Source organism: Homo sapiens, chromosome 2 (genome assembly GCF_000001405.40).
Source record: "Homo sapiens chromosome 2, GRCh38.p14 Primary Assembly".
NCBI classification, from domain to species: domain Eukaryota; kingdom Metazoa; phylum Chordata; class Mammalia; order Primates; family Hominidae; genus Homo; species Homo sapiens.
Genome location: NC_000002.12, coordinates 98,594,881 through 98,618,828, shown reverse-complemented (window position 1 = coordinate 98,618,828; position 23,948 = coordinate 98,594,881). Strand labels below are relative to the sequence as shown.

The following is a 23,948-nucleotide window of genomic DNA, read 5'->3' as shown; positions in this document are numbered from 1 at the left end:
TAATGATGCTTAGGGCCTGAAGTACAGTGACTCCCGTTTGACTGACACTACAGGTTTATAGAGGATTCCGAAGGTTAGAAGGGATCTTGTGGCTTATGTAAGTAAGTATTTAAAATACAGCTAATTAGAAATGGAGATTATGCATCTTTGTCAATAGGAGAGCGATGGGGCTGTATGATTATTCCCTTGTTCTCCAACTAGATGATACTCTTTCAAAAATAATTCATATTGTTTTATGTTTATGTTTTCCCCATGCCATTAGCATTTTACATGTAGCTCTTACATTTGCAAATATTAGAGTGAACACACATGCTTTAGTTTAAAAAATATTTATTATAGAAATGTACATTTAATTAGTTTTAAGGAATGTACCTGACCACAGTGTTAATATATATTTCTTCAAATTTGCAAACTTTACACCTTTAAGATATCTACAAAGATGATAGTTTATTTACAAGTTTTACAAGAAATGATCACTTCACAATACTGTTGACACAGTTACGATTGAATCTTCTTCTCACTTTTTATTTCACTCTGTACTTATAGAAAGAACAGAGAGTATGGGTGAAGTTCCATCCCAGTGCCAGGGAAAGCCCGTAGAGCAGAATCAGAGGTGCAAATGGATACAGAAGAATTACTGTATTTTTCAAAAATGGCAATGCTGGAAAAGAAAGGAATCCAAACTGATTTAAAAAAAAAAAAAAATAAATGACTAATAAATGAACATTTTGAAAGACAGCTTACTTCAACATGTGGGGTGGAAGGGAATGCATATTTTGAATCAGTAAGATGATGCTATTTATGCCCAGAACTAGACTACTCTTCCCAACCCCTCTGTGCTGTTTCCTCCTTGTCTAGGGCTGGGAAGAAACCTAGGAGAGGAATTATTTCAGCACAGAGGCTGAGTGGGACATCATACACTGGACCAAGAGAGGTTAACAATGAGGGAGAAATGTCACAAATATTCATGAAAACAGTGGTGAATTTAAACTTGTGACTGCCTCAGAAACCTCTAGGAGTCCAACTTAAAGTACAGAGATGGATGGCGTTATAGGAAAACATCTTTTAGCTATTTGAGATTTTCCAGTGTAAAGCATTATACCCCCACTTTAAGAGGGTGTGAGCTCAACTAGTAGCCCAGGCTTCAGAAAAGAACTGAAACTCTTAAATATAAAAGTCTGGCTCCAAATATTGATGTTTCTTGCTCACTGCTTAGTTAGCGGGACCCTACCCCATGCATCCCGACCTAAGTATTTCTCATATAGGAAGTTCTTAAACAAACTGAGCTGTACTCCAACTATTCTAAGTGGTATAGGTCGTTACCAGGAGTGTTCAAATAACCACTTAGAGAAACCACAGTGCTGCAGTGTTCTCATCACAAAACACTTTCAAAATTCATTAGAAATGACACAAACATCTCCCCTGGACTAGAGAAAGCACTCCCCAAACAAGGCATTACAATGAAGGGGTTAAGTGTTCCCTGACAAACCAGCCAAGGGGGGAGAGAACCGGGGTGGGAATAACTCCGGAGCCAGGCATAGTCAGAGCCATCTGTATTTACAGTTAGGCCCTAATCATCTACAGTAACAGGAAAGGAAGGGGTAAGAAACGTACAGCGCAGTCTCTAGATTTTATTTGGCTTTATTTAATGGGATCATTTCTTAACATAAATGAAAAATAATATATGTTCCTCATTCATATTAAGAAAAATGAACTGACAACAGGATTTAACAGTAAATCTGCAAACATGTCCTGAGGACAATAAATGTTGGGCCCGATCTTCTGTGATTGTCTACAGAACCATACGGTAATCATGAAAACTAAGAATGGGGCAAAAAGTTATGATTCAAAAGGCTTTAGAGAACTTCAGTTCATAGACCTATGTAACAAGATGCTGGGCCCCACCTTTCTTCGCTCTACCCTCCTGCTGGTAACCCACAACCTGAAAGCATGGGAGAAGAGGAGTGAATGGTCTTGGATTCCTGCAAGTCATCTGGAGATAACCAGTATGGTTTAACATGTTTCCTTGAAAGTATAAAATCTGTTATATACCAGCTAGGCCATTTTCTAGCTGCATGACCATGGGTAAGTTGCTTAATCTCTCTGCCTCAGTTTCCTCATTTGAAAACAGAAACAAACCTGTGTAATTGTCATGAAGATTAAATGAGATAATGCACATAAAATACTTAGGATAGTGCCTGTAAGTGTTCCATAAAAGCAGCTGTTTGTACTACTGTTACAACTTTCCCCCTCTTGCTATGTTCTCAACCAAAAACATTTAAAAAAATTACTTACCACTGTATCCCAGGAAAGTTACATAGATATAATAGCCAACTGCAACCAACCATAAGGTATTTCCAACTAAATATCCAATAAATGTGTCTGTCAGGATAACATCTGCCAGAAGAGACGCAGACCATGAGTCCCTTTACCAATGCATGCAATGAAGACTTGGATAATACTCTAATTAACTGCTACTTACGGTTGATGAAAAAAAGCTGGATAAAATGCAAAATGACCAGGAGTGGATAAAAAGCATTGAGATGCACATCAAAAGCATAGCCCCATTCCACATCATAGTCTCTGCTCTGTCGTTTCACTAAATACTTGTTAGAGATGAACCTAAGAGCAAAATTAAAATTTCTTTCATAATAAAATGAATTCTGTAAATGTTTACTGACGACTTTCTATGCGGCAGACATTCTAAATTCTGGAGATATACCAGTAAACAAAACAGACAAAAATCCCTGCCTTCCATCTAGGAAGGAAGGCTGACAATGATACACCTATGTCAGATGGTATTATGGAAAGAGAGAAAGCAGCAGAGAAATGTGGAGAATACAAACTTGAGATGCAATTGTACATATGAGGGTCATAAAGTAACATTTGGGTAAAGACCCAAGGATAGTGATGGTGCCTGGCAGGCCTGAGGAATGGTGAAAAGACCAGTGTCTGAAAGAAAAGGAGCAAGAAATGAAGCCAGAAAAGAAACAGGGTTGGGCCCAACATCAAGTCACACAGGCTCCATGTCTTACGAAGCCTGTGGCCGTTTTACAATCTTTGGCTTTTATTCCTGGTGACGTGAGAAGCCACTGTGGAGTTCTGAGAAAAGTATTTGACTTAAATGCCTTGACAGAGCCTCCCTGGTGGCGGATCTGAGAACAGACTCCAGAGACAAGACTGGCAGCAGAGACCAGTTAGAAGGCTACTGCAAGGAAGAGATGAGCAGAGGGGCTGGTGGCAGTGGAGGTGCTAAGATGTGGCACACACGATACTCTGAAGGTAGAGCTCCTGACATTATTGGATTGGAGTATGAGAAAAAAATACTCAAGGATGACTGAGAGATTTCTGCCTTGAACAAATGGAAGATGGAGCTGCCTTTAATTGAGGTGGGGCTGGCTGTGGGAAGAGTGGTTTTGAGGTGGGAAGGAGTGTGCGGAAGTTTGAATTTGGACCTGTTATGTTGAAGATGCCAACTAGTATGGAGTAAGAAGTTGTATACAATGTCTAGAGTTTAGAAGACAAGTCCAAACTGGAAATATAAACTCATCAGTGTGTAGATGATATTAATATTTAAAGCCACGGGCCTGAATGATGTCACCAAAAAAATGAATGTGGATAATGAACAGGCCCAAGGCCCAAGACCTGGGTCAACCCCCTATTAAAAGGAGGATGAAATAGTAAGAAGCAGTTAGGAAGAGTGACGCATCCAGCCATAAGAACAATTATTCAAGTGTATGTCACTGTTCTACAACATGGCCTACTAGTTTTTCAGTTCAATGATGAATAAAAAGTAAAATATCCAAGTAACAGAAAAGTAAGATCTTCAAAGAACAAAACTTGTATTATAAACATATATTGGAAATTCAATGTATTTTTTAATGTATTATTTCATTTCATCTCAAGGGTACAATTAAGAATACGCTATTCCGTCACTGGGGATAAAAATGGAAAATAAACAGAGGTACAATACTAATGTTAACAGTCCCTGCATTTCGTTATCTGAAAATGCCAAAACAATACTGAACAAACTAGAGCTTACCAAGACAGTTTCCTTTTTAGCCAAGAATGTGTGCCATTCAAATTTTATGGAATCAGTATGTAGCTCGCTCCCCAAGAGCGCCCTTTCTGTAGACGTTCTCTGCTGCCCCTATTCTCCCGCTTATCCCAAATGGGCGCTTTTCAAGCTTCTGGCCTCAGTGAGAGTCTTTCCTCTGAAAGACAGATGTGCCTTCCGAGAGCACTCCAAGGCACTGTGGTTTTCACCTCCCAGCTCCATATTAACGCCAGTCAGAGGCTCATCATGGCCCAGACTCTTGCCTCTAGGTCTAGAGTCATCAACCTCAGTGTCTACTGACCTTCTTTTCACTCTTCAGGAAGCTCCCTGAACTCAACAGGCCAGCAAGGGCTGCTTCATCTGCATCTGCTGCTTCCTCAGTCATCTAAGCCAAAATCTTACAGGTCATCCCAAAGGAGCCTCCCACCCACTCCCTCTTCCTGATCCCCCCTCATACCTTGTTATCTCAGGAAGCTCTCGAATCCATCTCTCCTCTCTATTCCTATCACCACCATACTATCTGGGCCTCCTCTACTCCTACGCAGACCTCTGCAAGTGTATCCAGCCTTGCCCACTCACTACTCCAACTTTTGCCTCCTCCACTGCCATGGAAAAGATAGTGTGAGTTTGACATTATTTCCTTACTTTAAAGCCTCAAAGCTCCCCACCTCCTTTTGCCCCCAACCCACACATGCAGTCTATGAGATAAAGTCCAATTTTTTTCCTGAATGGCATGAAGGCCAATTTCTCTAGTCACATCTCTTCCCCAGTGACTCGGTGTCACCCTATGCTCCCAGACCTAGTGTGCTGTTCACACCTCTATGCCATTGCACTTGCAATTCCCAGCACCAGGAGTCAACTATTCCCCATCTCCACAAACCACCACCTTATGCTGGCTTCTGTAGCTCCTCTGTGATGGTCATCATTACATGTAGTCATTTCTCTTTCTAGTTCCTCACACAACATAGGTTCTCAAAAATACACTGAATCCCTTTCTATTTAATTCAAACTATGATACAGACTCACATGAAATGTGCTAAACTCCAGGCTGATTTGGTCCCCTTCTGTGCCTGATATTGTTTGGCTGTGTCCCCAAAATCTCATCTTGAACAGCAATCCCCAGAATCCCCACGTGTCAAGGGTGGGGCCAGATGGACGTAATTTCCCCCATGCTGTTCTCGTGATAGTCAGTGAGTCTCACAAGATCTGATGGTTTTATAAGCATTTGGCATTTCCCCCACTTGTACTCACTCCATCCCGCCACCCTGTGAGGAAGGTGCCTGCTTCTCCTTTGCCTTCTGCCATGATTATAAGTTTCCTGAGGCCTACCTAGCAATGCAGAACTGTGAGTCAATTAAACCTTTTTCCTTTATAAATTACCCAGTCTCAGATATTTCTTTATAGCAGCATTGAGAACAGACTAAGACAGTGGCCTCCAGAATTACTGCATTCAGGGCAGAATGCTTGTTATGAATGAAACTATTCCTTTGAAAGTCTTATTTATTGAAATTTTAAAACACACCATTTGTTTTTCATGAATTTCTTGGTAATGAATACGTGACTTACATTAGTATTAATTCTAGGCCAGATTTTAGAATTTTATATTAACAGTGGACAGCATTTATTGGCTAACTAGCACATACAAAAGCTCTGCTGTACTAGTCAGAAGTTACAAAGGAAAATACAGGCATATGTCATTTTACCACACTGCACTGTACTGCGCTTCACAGAAACTGTAGTTTTTAAATTTTTACGTATTGAAGGTTTGTGGCAACTGTGTCCAGCAAGTCTGCCTGTGCCATTTTTCCAGCAGCATATGCCCACTTCATGTCTCTGTGTCAGCATTTTTAAGCAATAAAGCATTTTAAATTAGTCTGTACATTGTTTTTTAGAGCCATAGTGCTATTGTACACTTAAAAGACTACAGTACAGTGTAAATATGATTTTAATATGCACTGGGAACCAACACATCTGTGTGACTCAGTTTATTGTGATATTTGCTTTACTGCAGTATCTGGAATGGAACTAGCATATCTGAACTATGCCTGTAAAAGGGTGGTATTGGCTGGGCGCGGTGGCTCACGCCTGTAATCCCAGCACTTTGGGAGGCTGAGGCGGGAGGATCACCTGAGGTCAGGAGTTTGAGACCAGCCTGGCCAAATGGCAAAACCCTGTCTCTACTAAAAGTATGAAAATTAGCCAAGTGTGGTGGTGTGTGCCTGTAATCCCAGCTACTCAGAAGGCTGAGGCAGGAGATTCGCTTGAACCCGGGAGGCGGAGGTTGCAGTGAGCTGAGATCACACCATTGCACTCCAGCCTGGGTGACAGAGTGGGACTTCGTCTCAAAGAAAAAAAAAAAAAGGCTGGTATCAGAAGTTATAGTTGCAGAGTTTTGCTTAAAATATTAGTAACTACCAAATATTGAACACTTAACTGTGTCAGGTAATTTTCATAACATAATTATCTCAAAAATTGGACAGAATAGGTAATTAACTAGATTTTGTAAAAGAAGAGACTGGGACTAAGAGTTTCACAGATAACTAAGTTGGCATTTGAACCCAGGTCTCTCTGCAACTAAAATGTTCTCCACAATGACCACCATGTCTACCCAACCACTGGTCCTCTACTGAGATCGCTAGCCACATCCCCTGCCCTTCATCCAGCATGCCAACCACACAGGAGGACTTTACCAAACACCAGATTTATCCTCAGTACACTGCTGTTGCTAAATCAACCAAAGTCAGACTGAGAACCCTTCTGATAAAGCCCGTGTGTGTGTGTGGCGGTGGGGGGGCGGGGGGGGCGGAGGGTGTGTGTGTATGAGAGAAAGAGAGAGAATTTTATTCTCAGTAGGAAGGCATGAGAAGTTTAAAAAAAAAATCCTTCTTTTTCAAGTATACTTCATTTAATGCAAAGATTCAAAGTAAGACTCCACAAAATAACCCTTTAGATCTAAATGGATTTAAACACAATGAATATCAAGAAGTGGTCTCTATTGACAAATGCAGAAAACCATGCTATCATCCAGACAACTTAAGCAGAACTGGCTAAATCTGTAATATTTTTGCAAAACCAGGCATTTTGTTAGTATGCAGAAAATAAATCTCGGGACCCCAAAATCACTAAGCCAAAGGGAAAAGTCAAGCTGGTAACTGTGTCAGGCAAACTTGCCTCCTATTTTATTCCTAAGATAGCTTATCTTTACAGGTGTGGGACAGAAAGTCCTCCTTCTACTCACCTGAGACAAGTGTTTATCTGATTGCTTCCTCTGCCCCATTGTTTATGTAAAAATGCAGACTCACTGAGCCAGATTAAGGCATAAATGACTATTCCTGTACCTGCCTCTCACAAGTAAATTGTGTATTCAGTGAAAGGCAGATCAAAGACTCAAAAGAATGCAACCATTTGTCTCTTATCTAACTGTAACCTGCCTTTCCCCACTTTCTGGATTAAAACAATGTACATTTTACACATATTGACTGATGTCTCAAGTCTCCCTAAAATGTATAAGAGCAAGCTGTGCCCCGACCACCTTGGGCACATGTCATCAGGACCTCCTAAGGCTGTGTCACAGGCATGTCCTTAACTTTGGCAAACTAAACTTTCTAAATTGAGACCGATCTCAGATATTTTGGGTTCAAAACATAATTATTTCAATTATTTGCTACATTTGACAATATTATAAACCAGCCTTTATAGTATTTTCTGATATAGGTGGCAACACAGGAGGGAAAATTGTAATAATCTTGGCAGTCAAAATTGATCATTTAGTAACTCTACCTGGGTTTCAATTTCCATCTGCTGCTATTGTACCTCTGAAGCAAACAAATGGAGATGCTACAGCAGTATCTGAAAAACCAAAGTTATGGTACTTACCACATTAAAGTTGCTATCAGAAGACCAACGCCTACACAATCTATGAGTACAACCCAAAGGAGAAGCTTTATTGTCTCAAAGAATCCCATGTCCAGCACAAAGCCAAATCCTATAGTGGACACTGAAAGAAAGATTCACAAGATTCATTTAGGGACTCTGCTAGGTTCTGGAAATACAGGACACATCCCTTGCCCTCCAGATGCCCAGGCTAGTGGGAGAGACAGGTCTTTAAACAAAACTCCCAAGATGTGTGAACACTACCTTGGGACACAGCGTGGCCACTGAGAGAGTTGAAGTTTCCTGAGGTGGGCCCTTGCCAGGCTGATTCACCACGGTGGCCTCAGTATTTAGAACGCCAGTGTAGAGAAGGCACTAACATAGTTTAAGTCCAGTTAAGGTGCAAAACACCCTATAAACTTCAATATCTTACCCACTTCAACACCCTACAGGTAAATGAGACCCTTGCATTATGGAATTGGAGAACTTCAGTTTCTCAGGTTCCCATCAATACCTTTACAATTCTCACTGTGGATTTGCCTGTGAAATGCAATTTCCAGTTTCATATTCCTATTCACAGTCAGCTGACATTTGGGTACCGATTCAAGTACTTAAAAAGATATGGAGTGAATCTTGTCCCCTGCTTTTCAATGTCCTAGGGTAACAGTTTACTCTGGCATCTGCTTGGGACCTGTAGAACCAAGACTACAACTTTCTTTCCTGTGAGATTTTTTGAGGCTTCAGTAAAAAGGAGAAATAGTTTCCAATATTTCCAGATTCTGACCCACAACACATTTATAACAAAAAATCTAATCAGAAACACTCAGCGTTCAATTCTATCTCAGATAAACACACTTACCACAGAGCCAGATACTTAACAGGACCAAGAAAGCAGGGTCATCTCTGGCCCACTGGTCCTTCGTCTGTTTTCGATAATGAAAATTTCTGTAAACTCTCTGTGGGGATGTGAACAGGTAGAGCATCTGCCAGGCAGCAAATTCAAAGTCCATTTGCCGAAAGCGGAAAAGCCTTCTCAGATATTTGTAGCGTTTCGCTCCGGCTGTGTGTCTTGCCGCATCCCTGGAATTCAAGACTCCGTTCCCCTGCACTAAGGAATTCACTGAAGTACTCGGTAACATCTTCCTAGATGGAAGAAAAACATTTCTTTTACACGTATTCTGAAGAAACATTTGGCTACCGACACTCCTCTTCTGAGTTATTTGGCAGGGAGGTCACTTTCCATGTTCTTCCCAACCCTAGAGAAAGGCCAGGAGTCAAAAGCAAATGCAGTTAGTTCTGAGGCGGGTCTTGGGGCTTGGGAACCGCAGACTGCAACCTCAGGCAAGGGCAACAGCCCACCCTTCTGAATCACCTAATAACACTTATCCAGGGGCAGCTACCATTACAGAGACAGGGATGATGTGACTGCCCCATGACTCCGAGGATAGTGATAGAGCCAAGATTGGAAATCTGACTCGAAATTCCGTGCTCTTAACCACCAAGCTTTTAAGAAAATGCCTAAGAAAGCAGTTTCAGCCGGTTAGAACAGTGTTACTGAAGAGGTCAAATAAATGGCCTATTCACACAGATCCATCAGCGCACTGCCAGCAAGCTTCTCGGTCACTAGAATGAGATTAAAAAACCAAGAAAAACTCCGATCCCTAGTGTTTTACATCCGGAATAGTTCAGCAGAGGGAGCGGTAGCGTCGGAGTCCAATCCAACCGGTCCGAGCTCCGGGGAACGCCGGCCACTGCCCGGCTGCCCGTCTCCCCTCCACTTCGCAGGCCCCCCAGACGCCGGCAGGGTCTGGCCGAGCCCAGCTGCTCCCTCCCTGCCCGGGGCCGCGGGTACGGCTGCCAGATTTAGCAAATAAAAACACAGAATACCCAGCTCCATTTGGATTTCAGACAGGCCACGAATAAGGTTTTAGTATGCCTACATCCCACGCAACATTTCGGACATGCTTATACTAAATGCTCTTTCTTTATCTACGATGCAAATGTAACTGGGCGTCCTTTCATTTTAGCCGCAACTCTATCGCCGGCCGAGGGGCCGGACGCCGACATGGTCACTGCCAGGCCGCAGCGACGTCAGGCCGCAAGCTGTCGGGATTAAATGGCCCCCGGCGCGAGCCCGGGCCGCGGGAGGGCAGAGTGGTCCTCAGGCCTCACCTGGAGTCCTGCTACAGCCTCGACCCACGTCCGAACCAGCCCACCACCTCCTCCCAGCAGCCGACCCCAGCCGCCACCGGGCGGGCTTCCCTTCCCTCAACGGAGCCGGCCCTTGGGGCGCGCCGCGTCACGGGAACCGACTTCCGCCGCGGACGCGCCACCTCTCGGCCCCCGTAGTCCTCGGCCCTACCGCCGCGGCCCGCCGGAAGTTGTTGCCGCTGGCTTCCGGTCCCCTGAGACTGGGGCCTCGCTCGCTCCCGACCCGGTTGCAAGTGTTGCGGTGGGAGAAAGTCGCGTCCGCATCGGAGGGGAAGCGCCGTCATGCCTAAGTATTATGAGGACAAGCCGCAGGGCGGCGCGTGCGCGGGCCTGAAGGAGGACCTGGGCGCGTGTCTGCTGCAGTCGGACTGTGTGGTCCAGGTAGCGCGGCCGGGCGCTCCCGGTGGTGACGACCCCTGTCCCAGGCAGGCCTGGCTCGGCGGAGGGCAGCGGGTCGCCCGCGGCGGCGGTTGGAGTTAACCATCCCGGGCGTAGGTCACAGCTCGGGCTCACTGAACGTGCGCAGATCCACTGAGCTGTCGGAGCCCCAGTTCCCTGTGGGGTTAAATCGGAGATAACGATAAACGCACCCTGTCGGGTTTTTGTAAAGGTTAACCCATTTCAGTTCACGAAGCCTTTATTGAATGCTAGCACTCTACTAGGCTTTGGAGACATAAAGGAGAATAAGCCAGGTTTCTTGCCTGCCTAGAAATGATAATCTGTAGAATTAATGATTCCAGAGAGTTGCGTAAACCTGGTACACTGCCCTGGCCAGTAGTGTCTCCTGCCTGTTCAGTTGTGACAATGTGTGCTCAGTTTGACTTGTGTTGATGTGAATTTGTTTCTGAGTTACAGTTCTCTGCATTCTTGGATGTTAAGTTGTAAAAATAAGGCAACTCCATATTTTCACGATTTCGTATCTTGCTTCCCCTACACTCTTCCTTCACTCCCCGGCTACAGACACAGGTCTCCTCAGCACCCTCTTGGAATGCACTGAAACATGTAGTGAGGTTCACAGTGGACCTGAGTTCTGGATTAGAGCTCAAGTAAAGCACAAGTGCCTTTTCCAATTGCAGAGGCCCGACGAGAGGGCATTCAATTGTGTGCAATTGTCTTTGCATTGGGGGATGTAGTTTCAGAAAGTTGCTGTTATTTCAGAGAAAAGATTACCCCCAAATGGACATCCACTGTAAGACTGTACCAGTGTTTCTACCGAGTCACAATTTGTTTGGTTCACTGATTTTAGCAGTCAGCCATTCTCGCCTCCCAATGTCTAGTAAAACTTGAGTTATTATAAATTTAAGAGATTATCTCGCCCAACTTCCTTATATAAATGAGGAAACTGAAGTACCGTTGTTTTCAGGCTCCCCTGTCCAGGGCTGTGTCCCTTCTGCCCCTTACTCACTGGTGCTGCCGTTCAGCCAGCTCCTGGTAAATGCCTCTTAAGTGGCAGGCATGGTACCTGACACTGGTGATAACGAAGATGAATCAGTAACAGTCACTACCCATGTAAGCTTGGTGTCATGGGAGAAATAGACATCTAAGGGTCTAAATTCCTGCCATAAGACTGTAAGCATTTATTAAACATGTGTTTAATGACTAGATCTTGAGGAGAAAAATGCGTTAGCCCAAGGGAGAGCGTCTGATTTTGCTTCAGAATTTGGAATCTTCTGAGATGACATTTGAGCTGAGTCTTAAAAGTTGAGTAGTAGTTTATCAAGTAAAGGAGTGGGAACTGTTGTGGTTGTGGGGAAAATCTGAAAGAACAGCAAGTGCAGAGGCAGGGAGATGTGGGAGGGCGCAGAGGAGCTAGTGTCCTGCCATAGGGGAATGCGACAGAAGGCCTGAGGGGAAGGTTGCAGCCAGGTGTGAAGGCCTGTATGTGTGTCAGAGTGAGGAGACTGGATTTTATCCAGACGTTCAGCATCGGAAGGCCATGTTGATGAGTAGTCAAGGGAAGAAAGTACACTGAGTAGGACTGAGGAAAGAAACTCCAAGTGGAGGACAATAGCAGCAGCACAGAGAATTCCAAGCTGGCTTTCTGCAGCGGTTGATACAGCAAACATGTACGGAGCGCCAGGCTCCAGTTCAGGGAACAAATACTGATGAATGGAACATGGTCTCTCCAGTATAGAAAGCGGAGCTGTTTGGCTAGAATGCTGTAGGCAGAGATTATGGTTGGGACAGCTGGTACAGACTTTGCTTTTCCCGCCATTGAATATGTGGCCTTACCAGTGCTCAGTTTGGTCAGCCAGAAAACGTGATGCTTATAAGCAGTTCTTTAGATGGAAGTTCGTATACAGTTTGTGTTAAATTCATTCTGAATGCTGACTTCAGCTGGATTGTAAAAGGGCAATAGTGAGGAGGTTTGCAGGTCCAGAACAATCTCCTACAATCTGTTGGCAGCTACTGCCCACTGCTCCTCACTGGGGACTCTGAAAGACCAAGGAAAGCTCTGCTGAGGTCTGTGCTTGCTCTGTGTGGCAACCTTAATTATGATGGAAATTTTTGATTTCTTAAGTTCTTGAATAAAAAGGTTAATCTGATCCTATGGCAGGTTGGTGCTGTAGTCTCTTCTTGCCAGTCTTTAACCCACCTGAAACCTGCAGCACCTCGCTCTAGGGAGGAATTCAACATAAACATGTATTTAGTTCTAGGTGCTGCTTTGGGAGACTGTCAAGGAGTTAGAGGGCCTCAGAGAAACTCAGGGTAATGGTAAGGATGTAAATTCCAGTGGGGCTGGAGGAAAGCAGGGAAAAAGCAGATTCAAAAGGCATCTCTTGAAGAGACTTCTTAGGATTTAATGACTCCTGGATGATCAGGACAATGAAACTCTGCCAGAGGAACTTCACTCATCATAGGGTATCTTCGTCTCCACTAACAGCTTCCAGATCCACTGACTCTTCATCAGAATCACCTAGAAGTGGTGTGGCTTTTTAAAAGTACAGATTCCACTGCTGCCCTCACCCTACCCCCAATAAGTTAAAAGTTTCTTTCCTAGGTTGGTTTTGGGCACAGCCATGTTTGAGAGCACTGACTGATCTTGACCTCAGAAGGCAAAAAAGCTTGGGAGTGTATTAGTTAGAATATAGATTCAAGTGCATGTTACAGAGACCCAGAATAATAGTGGCTTAAACGAGATAGAGAACTTTCTCTTTTGTCCTTGTGCCTATAATCAGGGCCTAGTCATTTCCCTCAGTCTTCCATGAACGCAGACACTGTTGATCTTGTGACTCTGTGCTGTGAAAATAGGAAAATATAGCAAGTAGGGTGTTACTCTCATATTCATGGTCCAAGACTGGTTTGCTTCCACATCATCAGGCCCGGCAACCTTATGGAGTGAAGTGAGGAAAGGGGCAAGCCTCTTTAAGGACCAACCCAGAAGTTCTACACCTGTTTCCCACACATTCCAGTGGCTAGAACTTAGTCACAGGACCACAGCTAGATGCAAGGGCGTCTAGGAGATCTCACCCAGCCATATGCTGGATAAAAAGGAAGAGCAGACAGCTAGCAGTCTGTTATTTGGGGTGGAGTGGATAACGAATGACTGTCTCTTAGCTTTAGTGTATCTAGATGGATCTTTACCCCAGGCAGTTGACAATATAGGTTGAAAGCTTTTGAAAAAGGTAGCATCTTAGATACAGTTTGAAGAGGCATCAGCTTATAAACTATAGTTATAACCTTTTATATGGTTAGTCTTCTTTTGTCTGCCTCCACGTCGTTCATGTGGGCAACACATCCCACCAGCAGAATTGCAGAGTTTGGAGAGGAAGGAAACCTGCTACTCTTATCCACTTTTGAGAGTCACTGAGGTAGATGACATTTGATATCTAGGACCCAGGCAGACATACAGACTGGAAGGTGGCCAAGACTCCTGGGGAACAGGAATACCACAGACATAGTACCCTGTAGCTTTTCATAGGAAAAACTGGCAGAGCGTGCCTGGCACTTGCAACATAAAGGTTCTGGGGAGTGGCTGCAGTGATGCGGCTGTAGAGTCAAAATCTGCTTGAGGGAAAATCCCTGATTATGCAGAGCAGATGAGCTTTGGGTTATATTTTTTCTGGTGCATGAATGGGCCACATGTTTCTATTTAAGTAGTATTCCAGCCTGCCTTGTTAATATCTTTGTGAAGTGTTTCGTGCCAACACTAAAAATATTCTGATTTTAGGGTACCCAGTTCACACATTTCACCCATAAGGAAATGAAGATAACCCTTTCTAGATTTTTATATAAACAGTTTAAGGAAAAGTATCCAATAGAAACCAGTGTTTTCAAGAATTCAACAGTGTCCTTAAAGTTCCCAAGTTACTTTACAATTTTTTTTTCATTCTTTAGGCACCAATAGCCCAAATGAATTAAGAACTATTTCCTACATAACTTTCTATTTTCCTCCTTTAACACTTTTAAAAAGGACTATTTTCAGAAGGACAATTATTTTGTACTTTGTGAGAAAATTTCCAAGGTGTTTATATTGTTTTATGTGTCTGTCATAGGAAGGAAAATCACCTCGGCAGTGTTTGAAGGAAGGATACTGCAACTCTTTGAAGTACGCATTTTTTGAGTGTAAAAGATCAGTGGTAAGTGGTTAAAGATTTTTAAAAGCCTATGCTAAAAATTAGCTATAGGGAGGTTAAATATATGAATGACTTAATAGTTATAGGTAAGTTGCAGTGATATGGTTTGGAAAAAATTACATAGATAATATTTCTTCCTCCAGTGAGTTAACGTTAGGTAGCGTTCATAAAAACCCACAGCTCATTGTTATGTTCTTCTGTCACCGTGCTAACTACAGCTGCTGAACTTCATGCATTTCTGAAAGTGTGAGAATGAAGTCTCGGCAGGTATATACGGGTAAAAGTTGATGTTGGCCACTCGAGTTCAGATCAGTTGGCAATTGTATACAAACATATAATGTGGAGCTCCAAGGTGTATACATTTGTGCCTTATGTGACTAAGAGAAAATGTCAGTATCTGTGTTTGAATTTTGGAGGGATGGATTGTAGAAATAGGGCCTAAAAAGAGATTACAAATCTCTGGGGTTCATTCTAACATTCTTTGATTTGGAAGATGTATGGAGATCTTTGGAATGGAAACTGAGACCCTTTTCTTGGAGAAATGTATAAAACCAAAAATATGAGCATCCCATTAAAGGAAGAAAGCACTTGGACTTGAGGATGTTTTTTTTTTGTTTTTTGTTTTTTGTTTGAGACGGAGTCTCACTTTGTCACCAGGCTGGAGTGCAGTGGCGCAATCTCAGATCACTGCAACCTCTGCCTCCTGGGTTCAAGAGATTCTCCTGCCTCAGCCTCCTGAGTAGCTGGGATTACAGGCGCCTGCCACTGTGCCCAGCTAATTTTTGTATTTTTTTAGTAGAGATGGGATTTCACCATGTTGGCCAGGCTGGTCTTGAACTCCTGACCTCAGGTGATCTGCCTGCCTCGGCTTCCCAAAGTGCTGGGATTACAGGAGTGAGCCACCACACCTGGCCTTGAGCATGCTTTTGTTTGCTTAGGAACTACACTGCAAATCCCTTCCTTTTTGTTAACAAAAGAAATGGAGGGTACTGATACTTACGACCTGCAAGTGGTTGTAAACAAAGAACTTGGAGCATGTTTGCCAGCTAATCAGATCCAGGGAGGGTGTAAAGTTAGATTAAATTTGGCCCTGCTCTGTTTACTTTCTTAAGTGACATCTTTTCCTGTCATTCAGTGTGAATAGAGGAGGATTTTCTTGCCTTCTCTCACATAGATTTGTTACCCATGTAAAATGCAAACCTTTAACTTTGTCAAGAATTTCAAAGCGTGTGCAGTAAACCCTCTGAAATTCTCTACCTAAAGCTCAGTCTTCGATCTCCAAAGAACGAAGTCAGATTTTTTTTTATTTTTACAATTTATCTACTTTCAGCAGAAATTTTTAACAATCTTACATAAAAAGTAAAATGATCTTACCATTTCTAAATATCAGTACAAGGCAGAGTTTCACATATACTTTGACACTGAGAAGAGCACCTTAGGGACCCTTTTTTTTTTTTTTTTTGAGATGGAGTCTCGCTCTGTTGCCCGGGCTGGAGTGCAGTAGTGTGATCTTGGCTCGCTGCAACCTCTGCGTCCTGGGTTCAAGTGATTCTCGTGCTTCAGCCTCCCGAGTAGCTGGGACTACAGGCAGCTGCCACCATGCCCAGCTAAGTTTTATATTTTTAGTAGAGATGGGGTTTCGCCATGTTGGCCAGGCTGGTCTCAAACTCCTGATCCACCCACCTCTCCCTCCCAGAGTGCTGGGATTACAGGCATGAGCCATTAACACCCGACCAGCTTAGGGACCTTTTTATAATCTTTCTCCAAGACCATGTTTTACTGTTAGTCCTCCAAAATGAGTAGAGTCATATCGCTGTTAATGCAACTTGTTATACATGCTTGGCAAAAAACCCAGAAATATAAACATTTAAATTGTGTGGGTAATTTTGTATGCTATTAAAGTGAGTGTGCATCTTATTGAAGGTGAGATGGGAAGTTTGAATCTGCTGTTCTCTCATAGTATGAGCAGTTCACCATCCTGATTCCTGTGTTTTAAAATTTTTTTTTAAAAGTATGGCTTTAGCTACTTTACCTAGTGCTCAGTGAATAAATGGCTGTCTGTCCACACTTTGTTGGACTAACTGGCAGGGTCTGTCTCTAAAATAATTCCTTCCTATAGAATAGTGGTCTGCAACATTTTTGGCACCAGGGACCAATTCCATGGAAGAAGACAATCTTTCCACGGACGGGGAAGGGGGCAGGGGATGGTTTTGGGATGAAACTGTTCCACTTCAGGTCATCAGGCATTAGATTCTCATAAGGAACGTACCACCTAGATCCCTTGAATGTGCAGTTCACAGTAGGGTTCATGCTCCTGAGACTCTAATGCTGCTGATCTGAATGTAATGCCCCTGATCTGACAGGAGGTGGAGCTCAGGCCCTAACACTCCCTCTCCTGCTGCTGACCACCTGTGTGGCCTGCTTCCTGCCAGGCCATGGACTGGTACAGGTCTATGGCCTGGAGGTTAGGGACCCCCAATATAGAATTTTTGGGGAGTGACATTGACTATGCAAGTTTGCCTTACAAACTGACTTGAGAACCCTCTGCTCTACCTACTACCCTTAAGAAATGACTGCACTGTGAGGCTTCAGTCAAAGAACGTGCTGCCAGTTTGTGAGGTGGTAATTCACCTGAAGGATTTTTAATCCCAAAGTAATGTGTTACTTAACATTTTTCAGGGCTCATCAGTTGCAATTTAAAGATTTCAAATATATTTGAATATTAACCTAAACCTAGAAAGTTAAGTTTTTTAGAAGAAGAATGTATATTGAGTATAGTCCAAATAAACAGTTAAATGTAATTTGGATTCTTGATTGCCCTTAAGCGGAACTTCTATTTTTAATGCCATCTTTCTTATTTATTTATTTATTTATTTATTTATTTATTGCCCAGGCTGGAGTGCAGTGGTGCGATCTTGGCTCACTGCAACCTCCACCTCCCAGGTTCGAGCAATTCTCCCGCCTCAGCCTCCTGAGTAGCTGGGATTACAGATGCATGCCACCACACCCAGCTAATTTTTGTGTTTTTTAGTAGAGATGGGGTTTCACCACGTTGGCCAGGCTGCTCTCAAACTCTTGACCTTGTGATCCGCCCACCTCATCATCCCAAAGTGCTGGGATTACAGGCATGAGCCACTGTGCCCTGCCAATGCCATCTTTGTTACTGTGGTTTTTCTTGGTAGTTCTGATGTCATCACCTTTTTGATTTTGCTAATAACTGGTTTATTTCTCTCATGCGGTGATACCCTTACCAAAGTAAGGGGTGTTTAATTAATTACATTGTACCAAATTTGATTTAATTGTATATTTATTTTCAGTTGGATAACAGGGCAAGATTCAGAGGAAGAAAAGGATATTGATGCATTATGTTGAAGCCAACATGGAAAACAACAAATATTTTCCCTGGTCATTAACACAAAGAAGCCAAAACAGGAAACATACTTTTTACTACATCTGTTTGGTTGGACCAGATTTCCCCTCCGTGGAACACTGAAGAAAGTGGATGAGTTGTTTTCGAATATGTATAAAGTAAATGATTCTCTTGATCCAAGTTATTTTTAGAAGAAAAACCTAATTGAACAGGTATGGGTTGGGAGCATAATAAATGTGTTTTGAGAATTGTTCTAAAGCACAGAAAATGGAAAGACTGTTATTTGCAAACTTGACTCTTCAATTGAATTACCCAATTAGTACAGGCCACTGATTTGACTGACACAGTCGATAACATGCAGCCTATCCAGAAGGTGTCTGTTGGGAAAGTTTAGGATAAAACTTTTTCTTTAGTTCAGTCTTTTCCTGTCTAGTTCTAAAATGAATTGTGTTTGATTCCTTAGAGAAGAAATACTTCATTTGTGCTCTGATTCACTGAAGTAATAACCTCAGCACTTTAATAGCGTCCACAGGCATAGCTGATGCTAGGCCCCAGATTGTGTTGCCCAGGCTCTTTACCATCATCTTCGGACTGTTTTTGTTTCCTGGTTACATTTTCAGTCTGGCCCGCTCTACATAATGGGCCAGTGTCAGCTCCAAGTCCACATCCTTATTATCCATGATTCAAAAGGGAGAGAGAGAACTTCCTTTTTCAGGGTCCACAAATCAAATCTATAAAAGGACTCTGGTCTTCCCAGGATCACCTGCCCTTGCATTGGACCAGTCCCTGTGGAAGAGGGGATGGGGGCCTGTGATCTTGGCCAGGCCTGGGCTATCTATCTGCACTGTCATTGCTAACTCCTGTCAGAATCACATGGATGAGTAGTGGGCTGAATCCCAAAAGGAAAGGGGTTTAGAGCAAGTGGAAACAACAGATGTTCACTATAGAAAGCAAGAATGAAAACCATGAAGTGGTTGAAGATTAGCCTTACAGTAATTTTATTCTGATCACTTAATACAGTAGAGTCAAACAGGAATCCAAGTTTCCAACTTTATTATTTTTGGCACTGAAGAATTACAAAGAACTCTAGCGTCTTTATACCTCCGTGGTTCACTGGAGTTAAAGCAATCGGGGCGTTGTACAGCTCACTTGAGTTTTTAAAGGTTCTACTAAAAAGTGAGAATTCCACAGCAATATGGGTCATTGTTGCAGAATATCACAAAGGTCTGTTGTGTATACTCCTTTTCACCAGGAAAGGGACAATAATAGTTTTTTTCAATGTATATATATATAAGTGATCTAACTTTTTATTAATAAAAGTAAACAACTCTAAAATGTATATTATAAAGCCCTGTCATCTTTGTTGAGTAATAGCTTTATTGAGCTTTATTTGGAGAAATACACATACCGTAAAATTCACACTGAAACTTACCAATTCAGTGTTTTTTATTATATCTACAGAGTTGTGCAACCATCACCACTAATTCCAGAACATTTGCATCACTACAAAGAGCAACCTGTACCCATTAGCAGTCACTTCCCTTCTCCCTCAGCCTCTAAAAACCACTAAGACACTTTTTATATAACATGTAGCCTTTTGTGACTGGCTTCTTTCACTTTTACCATAATGTTTTCAAGGCTCATCCACATGTAGAATCTATCTGTACTTCATTACCTTTTGTGAATAATATTCCATAGTATAGATGCACCACATTTTTTTATCCATTCATCAGTTGGCAGACTGGTTTGTTTACACATTTGGGCTATTATGACTAATGCTATGAACAATAGTGAACAAATTTTGCATGGACATATGCTTCTGTAAGAGTGGAATTACAGGGTCATATAATTCCAACCTTTTTTTTTTTTTTTTTTTTTTGAGACAGGGTCTCTGCTGTTGCCCAGAGTGCAGTGGCATGATTACAGCTCACTGCAGCCTCACCCAGGCTCCTCCTAACTCAGCCTCCTGAGTAGCTGGGACCACAGTCACGTGACACCATGCCCAGCTAATTTTTTTTGTATTTTTGTGGAGACAGGGTCTCCCCATGTTGCCCAGGCTGGCCTCAAACTCTTGGGCTCAGGTGATCCTCCCACCTCGGCCTCCCAAAGTGCTGGGATTACAGGCGTGGGCCACTGTTCCTGGCCCAACTTTAACATTTTGATGAACTGCCAAAATTTTCCACAGTAGCTGTACCATTTTACATTTCCACCAACAATCTTTGAGGGTTCCAGTTTCTCCACATCACCAGCAGTTATAATTCATGTTTGATTACAGCCATTCTACTGGGTATGAAGTGGTATCTACTTGAGATTTTGACTTTCATTTCTCTAACGACTAATGATGTCTGAGCATGTTTTCATGTGCTTATTGGCCATTTGTATGTCTTTAGAGAAATGTCTATTCAAGTCCTTAGTCCAGTTTTCAGTTCGGTTCTTTTTATTGTTGTAACAGTTTTTTGTATGTTGTAGATACAAGTCACCTAAAGATAAGTGATTCACAGATTCTCCCAATTTGTGGTTTGTCTCTTCACTTTCTTGATGGTATCCTTTGAAGTATAATTTCTAATTTTGGTGAATTACAATTTATTTTTTTCTTTTGGTGTATCTAAGAAACCATTGCCTAATCTAAGCTTAATGGAAATTTATTGTTTTATCTTCATTTAAGAGTTTTACATTTTTACCTCTTACATGTGAGTCTGATTCATTTTAAAAATAATTTTTCAGGCTTTTATTTGCAATATATTTTTAAAATTTTAAATGTAAGATACATATAAAATTTACTATCTTAACCATTTTTAAGTGTACAGTTCAACAGTGTTGAGTGCACTCACAATTATGCAACCAATCTCCAGAACTCCCCTTCACCCCCACCACCCCTCCAACTCTCCACCTTGACAGTCACCATTCTACTTTATGTCTACAGTAAGTGCCTCGTGTGGAATCATACCACATTTGTCTTTGACTGGCATATTTCACTTAGCATATGTTCTCAAGGTTCATCCATGTTGTAGTATGTATCAAAATTTCCTTCCTTTTTTAAGGCCAAATAATATTCAGTTGTATGTATATAGCACATTTTGTTTACCTATCTGTCAGTGGACACTTGGGTTGCTTGTGCCTTTGGGTAACTGTGAATAATGCTGCTGTGAATATGGGTATACAGATACCTCTGTGACCCTGCTTTCAGTTCTTGTGGGTATATACCCATAAGTGGAATTGCTGGAGCACACAGTTATTCTAATTTTTTCAGGATCAGCCGTACTGTTTTCCACAGCAGCCATACTAGTCTACAGTAACAGCACACAAGGATTTCAACTTTTCCACATTCTTGCCTATACTTGTTATTTTTTATTTTTTTTTAAATAGTGGCCATCCTAATAGGTGTGAAGTATCTCAGTGTGGTTTTAATTTGCATCTTCCTAATGATTAGTGGTGAACATAATTTCATGTACTTGTTGGCCATTTGTATATCTCTTTGGAGAGATGTCTCAAGTCATTTTGAATGAGTTAAATCATTCAAATGGGTTAAATCCCTTAAAATGGTTAAGGTGGTAGATGGGTATTAAAAAAATAGGTTGTTTGCTCTTTTATTGTTGAAGTTCCTTGTATATTCTAGATGTTAACCTCTTATCAGATGCATGATTTGCAAATATTTTCTCCCATTCTGTAGGCTGCCTTTTTTTTTTTTTTTAAATGCACAGGGGTTTTGCATTTTGGTGTAGTCTAGTTTGTTTTTACTTTTGTTGCCTGTGCTTTTGGTGTCATACCCAAGTCACCGCTGACTCCAATGAAGTTTCTCCTGTGTTTTCTTCTAGGAGTTAGAGTTTTAGCTTTTAAATTATGTCTTTGATCTATTTTGAGTTAACTTTTGTATATGGTGTGAGTGTCCAGCTTTTTTGCCTAAGGATAGCTGGTTTTCCCAACACCATTTGTTGAAAAGATGTTCTTTCCCCATTGAATGGTCTTGGCATCCTGTGGAAAATCATTTGACCATATATGCCAGGGTTTATTTCTGGGCATGCTATTCTATTCTGCACTTCTGTCTGTACATATTTATGCCAGTGCCACATTATTTTGATTACTGTAGCTCTGTAATAATAAGCTTTGAAATCAGGAAGTATGCGACCTCCAGCTTTGTTCTTTTTCAAGATTGTTTTGGCTACCTGGGGTTCCTTGAGATTCGATGTAAATCTTAGGATGGATTTTTCTATTTCCACACACAAAAAAATCAGTTGGGAATTTGATGGGGGGGGGGTACATTGAATCTGTAGCTCACTTTTGATAGTACTGTCATCTTAACAATATTAGGTCTTTCAATCCATGTGCGCAAGATGTCTTTCCATTTTTTGGCATTCTTAATTTCTTTGCAGCAAAATTTTGTAGTTTTCAATATACAAGACTTTTGCCTCTTTGGTTGTTTATTCCTGAGTATTTTCTTTATGATGCTACTGTACATAGAACTGTTTCCTTAATTTCCTTTGGAGATTGTTCAACAATGGTGGGTTGTTTTTTTTTTAAACTTTTAGAAATACATTTAATTCAATTCTATAAATATTAGTCATTCAAAATCTGGCCACAATCTTAGGAATACAAAAGTAAAATCCCAGTTCTTTTTTTCCTAAAATGTCACAATGTAATAGATCTAACATTGCATATATTTCTGATGTGATGAAATGTTGATATATATTTTCTATCGTGCAAACTACAGCTCTAAAATTTTTCAAAGATAGTACATGTATTATGTTTTCTATAATACTTACACCATCATTATTGTTTTACCTTTTATGTCTCATATTCTATTTTAATTATGGAATGGTATTATTACATATCCCTGATAAAAATATTAAAATGTGCTATGGGAAAATTAAGAAAAGACATATTAAATAAACCTTGTTATGTAGTAGCAGGGACGTGGGAAAGCTCCTTGGAAGAAGTAAGGTTCATCACTCAGAAGTCAACCTATTTAATACAGAGATAATGATTCAACTTTACTTCAGAGAATTTAAATCTGCAGCTACCCTCTCATGGTTTGAATGTAGTTGGTGACTATTTTTTTTTTATACTTTAAGTTTTAGGGTACATGTGCACATTGTGCAGGTTAGTTACATGTGTATACATGTGCCATGCTGGTGCGCTGCACCCACTAACTCGTCATCTAGCATTAGGTATATCTCCCGATGCTATCCCTCCCCCCTCCCCCCACCCCACAACAGTCCCCAGAGTGTGATATTCCCCTTCCTGTGTCCATGTGATCTCATTGTTCAATTCCCACCTATGAGTGAGAATATGCGGTGTTTGGTTTTTTGTTCTTGCGATAGTTTACTGAGAATGAACCTGAGAAAAACAAGCAATGGGGAAAGGATTCCCTATTTAATAAATGGTGCTGGGAAAACTGGCTAGCCATATGTAGAAAGCTGAAACTGGATCCCTTCCTTACACCTTACACAAAAATCAATTCAAGATGGATTAAAGACTTAAACATTAGACCTAAAACCATAAAAACCCTAGAAGAAAACCTAGGCATTACCATTCAGGACACAGGCATGGGCAAGGACTTCATGTCTAAAACACCAAAAGCAATGGCAACAAAAGACAAAATTGACAAATGGGATCTAATTAAACTAAAGAGCTTCTGCACAGCAAAAGAAACTACCATCAGAGTGAACAGGCAACCTACAAAATGGGAGAAAATTTTCACAACCTACTCATCTGACAAAGGGCTAATATCCAGAATCTACAATGAACTCAAACAAATTTACAAGAAAAAAACAACCCCATCAAAAAGTGGGCGAAGGACATGAACAGACACTTCTCAAAAGAAGACATTTATGCAGCCAAAAAACACATGAAAAAATGCTCA

General features: G+C 41.6%; 2 protein-coding genes across 5 annotated transcripts, besides 3 other annotated features; one reads left to right on the top strand and one right to left on the bottom strand.

Moving 5' to 3' along the window:
* Window positions 1-313: 313 nt before the first annotated feature.
* Window positions 314-10,240, bottom strand: UNC50 (unc-50 inner nuclear membrane RNA binding protein). Of its 4 annotated transcripts, none has more exons than XM_006712403.4 (6): window positions 10,103-10,240; window positions 8,790-9,186; window positions 7,934-8,054; window positions 2,483-2,622; window positions 2,296-2,397; window positions 314-683 (listed from the first exon to the last, which is right to left on the bottom strand). In XM_006712403.4, the coding sequence occupies exons 2-6, from the start codon at window positions 9,118-9,120 to the stop codon at window positions 541-543; spliced, it is 837 nt and encodes a 278-aa protein (XP_006712466.1). In that variant the 5' UTR covers window positions 9,121-9,186; window positions 10,103-10,240; the 3' UTR covers window positions 314-540. The 4 variants fall into 4 exon arrangements, with proteins under 4 accessions (XP_006712466.1, NP_001317283.1, NP_001317282.1 ...); NM_001330354.2 differs by having other exon boundaries at window positions 314-661; NM_001330353.2 differs by having other exon boundaries at window positions 8,790-9,073.
* Window positions 10,013-10,112: a silencer, noted in NCBI's record as "silent region_11802". NCBI's record gives its function as "represses an Ori minimal core promoter by ATAC-STARR-seq in GM12878 lymphoblastoid cells {active_cell/tissue: GM12878}" and the evidence as "EXISTENCE:reporter gene assay evidence [ECO:0000049][PMID:35858748]".
* Window positions 10,176-11,165: an enhancer, noted in NCBI's record as "H3K27ac hESC enhancer chr2:99224127-99225116 (GRCh37/hg19 assembly coordinates)". NCBI's record gives its function as "activates a minimal SCP1, AML or CMV promoter by ChIP-STARR-seq in primed H9 embryonic stem cells {active_cell/tissue: H9 hESC(primed)}" and the evidence as "EXISTENCE:reporter gene assay evidence [ECO:0000049][PMID:30033119]".
* On the top strand, window positions 10,317-19,515 carry COA5 (cytochrome c oxidase assembly factor 5). The gene is made up of 3 exons (NM_001008215.3): window positions 10,317-10,522; window positions 14,638-14,721; window positions 18,036-19,515. Exons 1-3 carry the CDS (start codon window positions 10,424-10,426, stop codon window positions 18,075-18,077), a joined length of 225 nt encoding a protein of 74 aa, NP_001008216.1. The 5' UTR covers window positions 10,317-10,423; the 3' UTR covers window positions 18,078-19,515.
* Window positions 17,176-17,345: an enhancer, noted in NCBI's record as "active region_16269". NCBI's record gives its function as "activates an Ori minimal core promoter by ATAC-STARR-seq in GM12878 lymphoblastoid cells {active_cell/tissue: GM12878}" and the evidence as "EXISTENCE:reporter gene assay evidence [ECO:0000049][PMID:35858748]".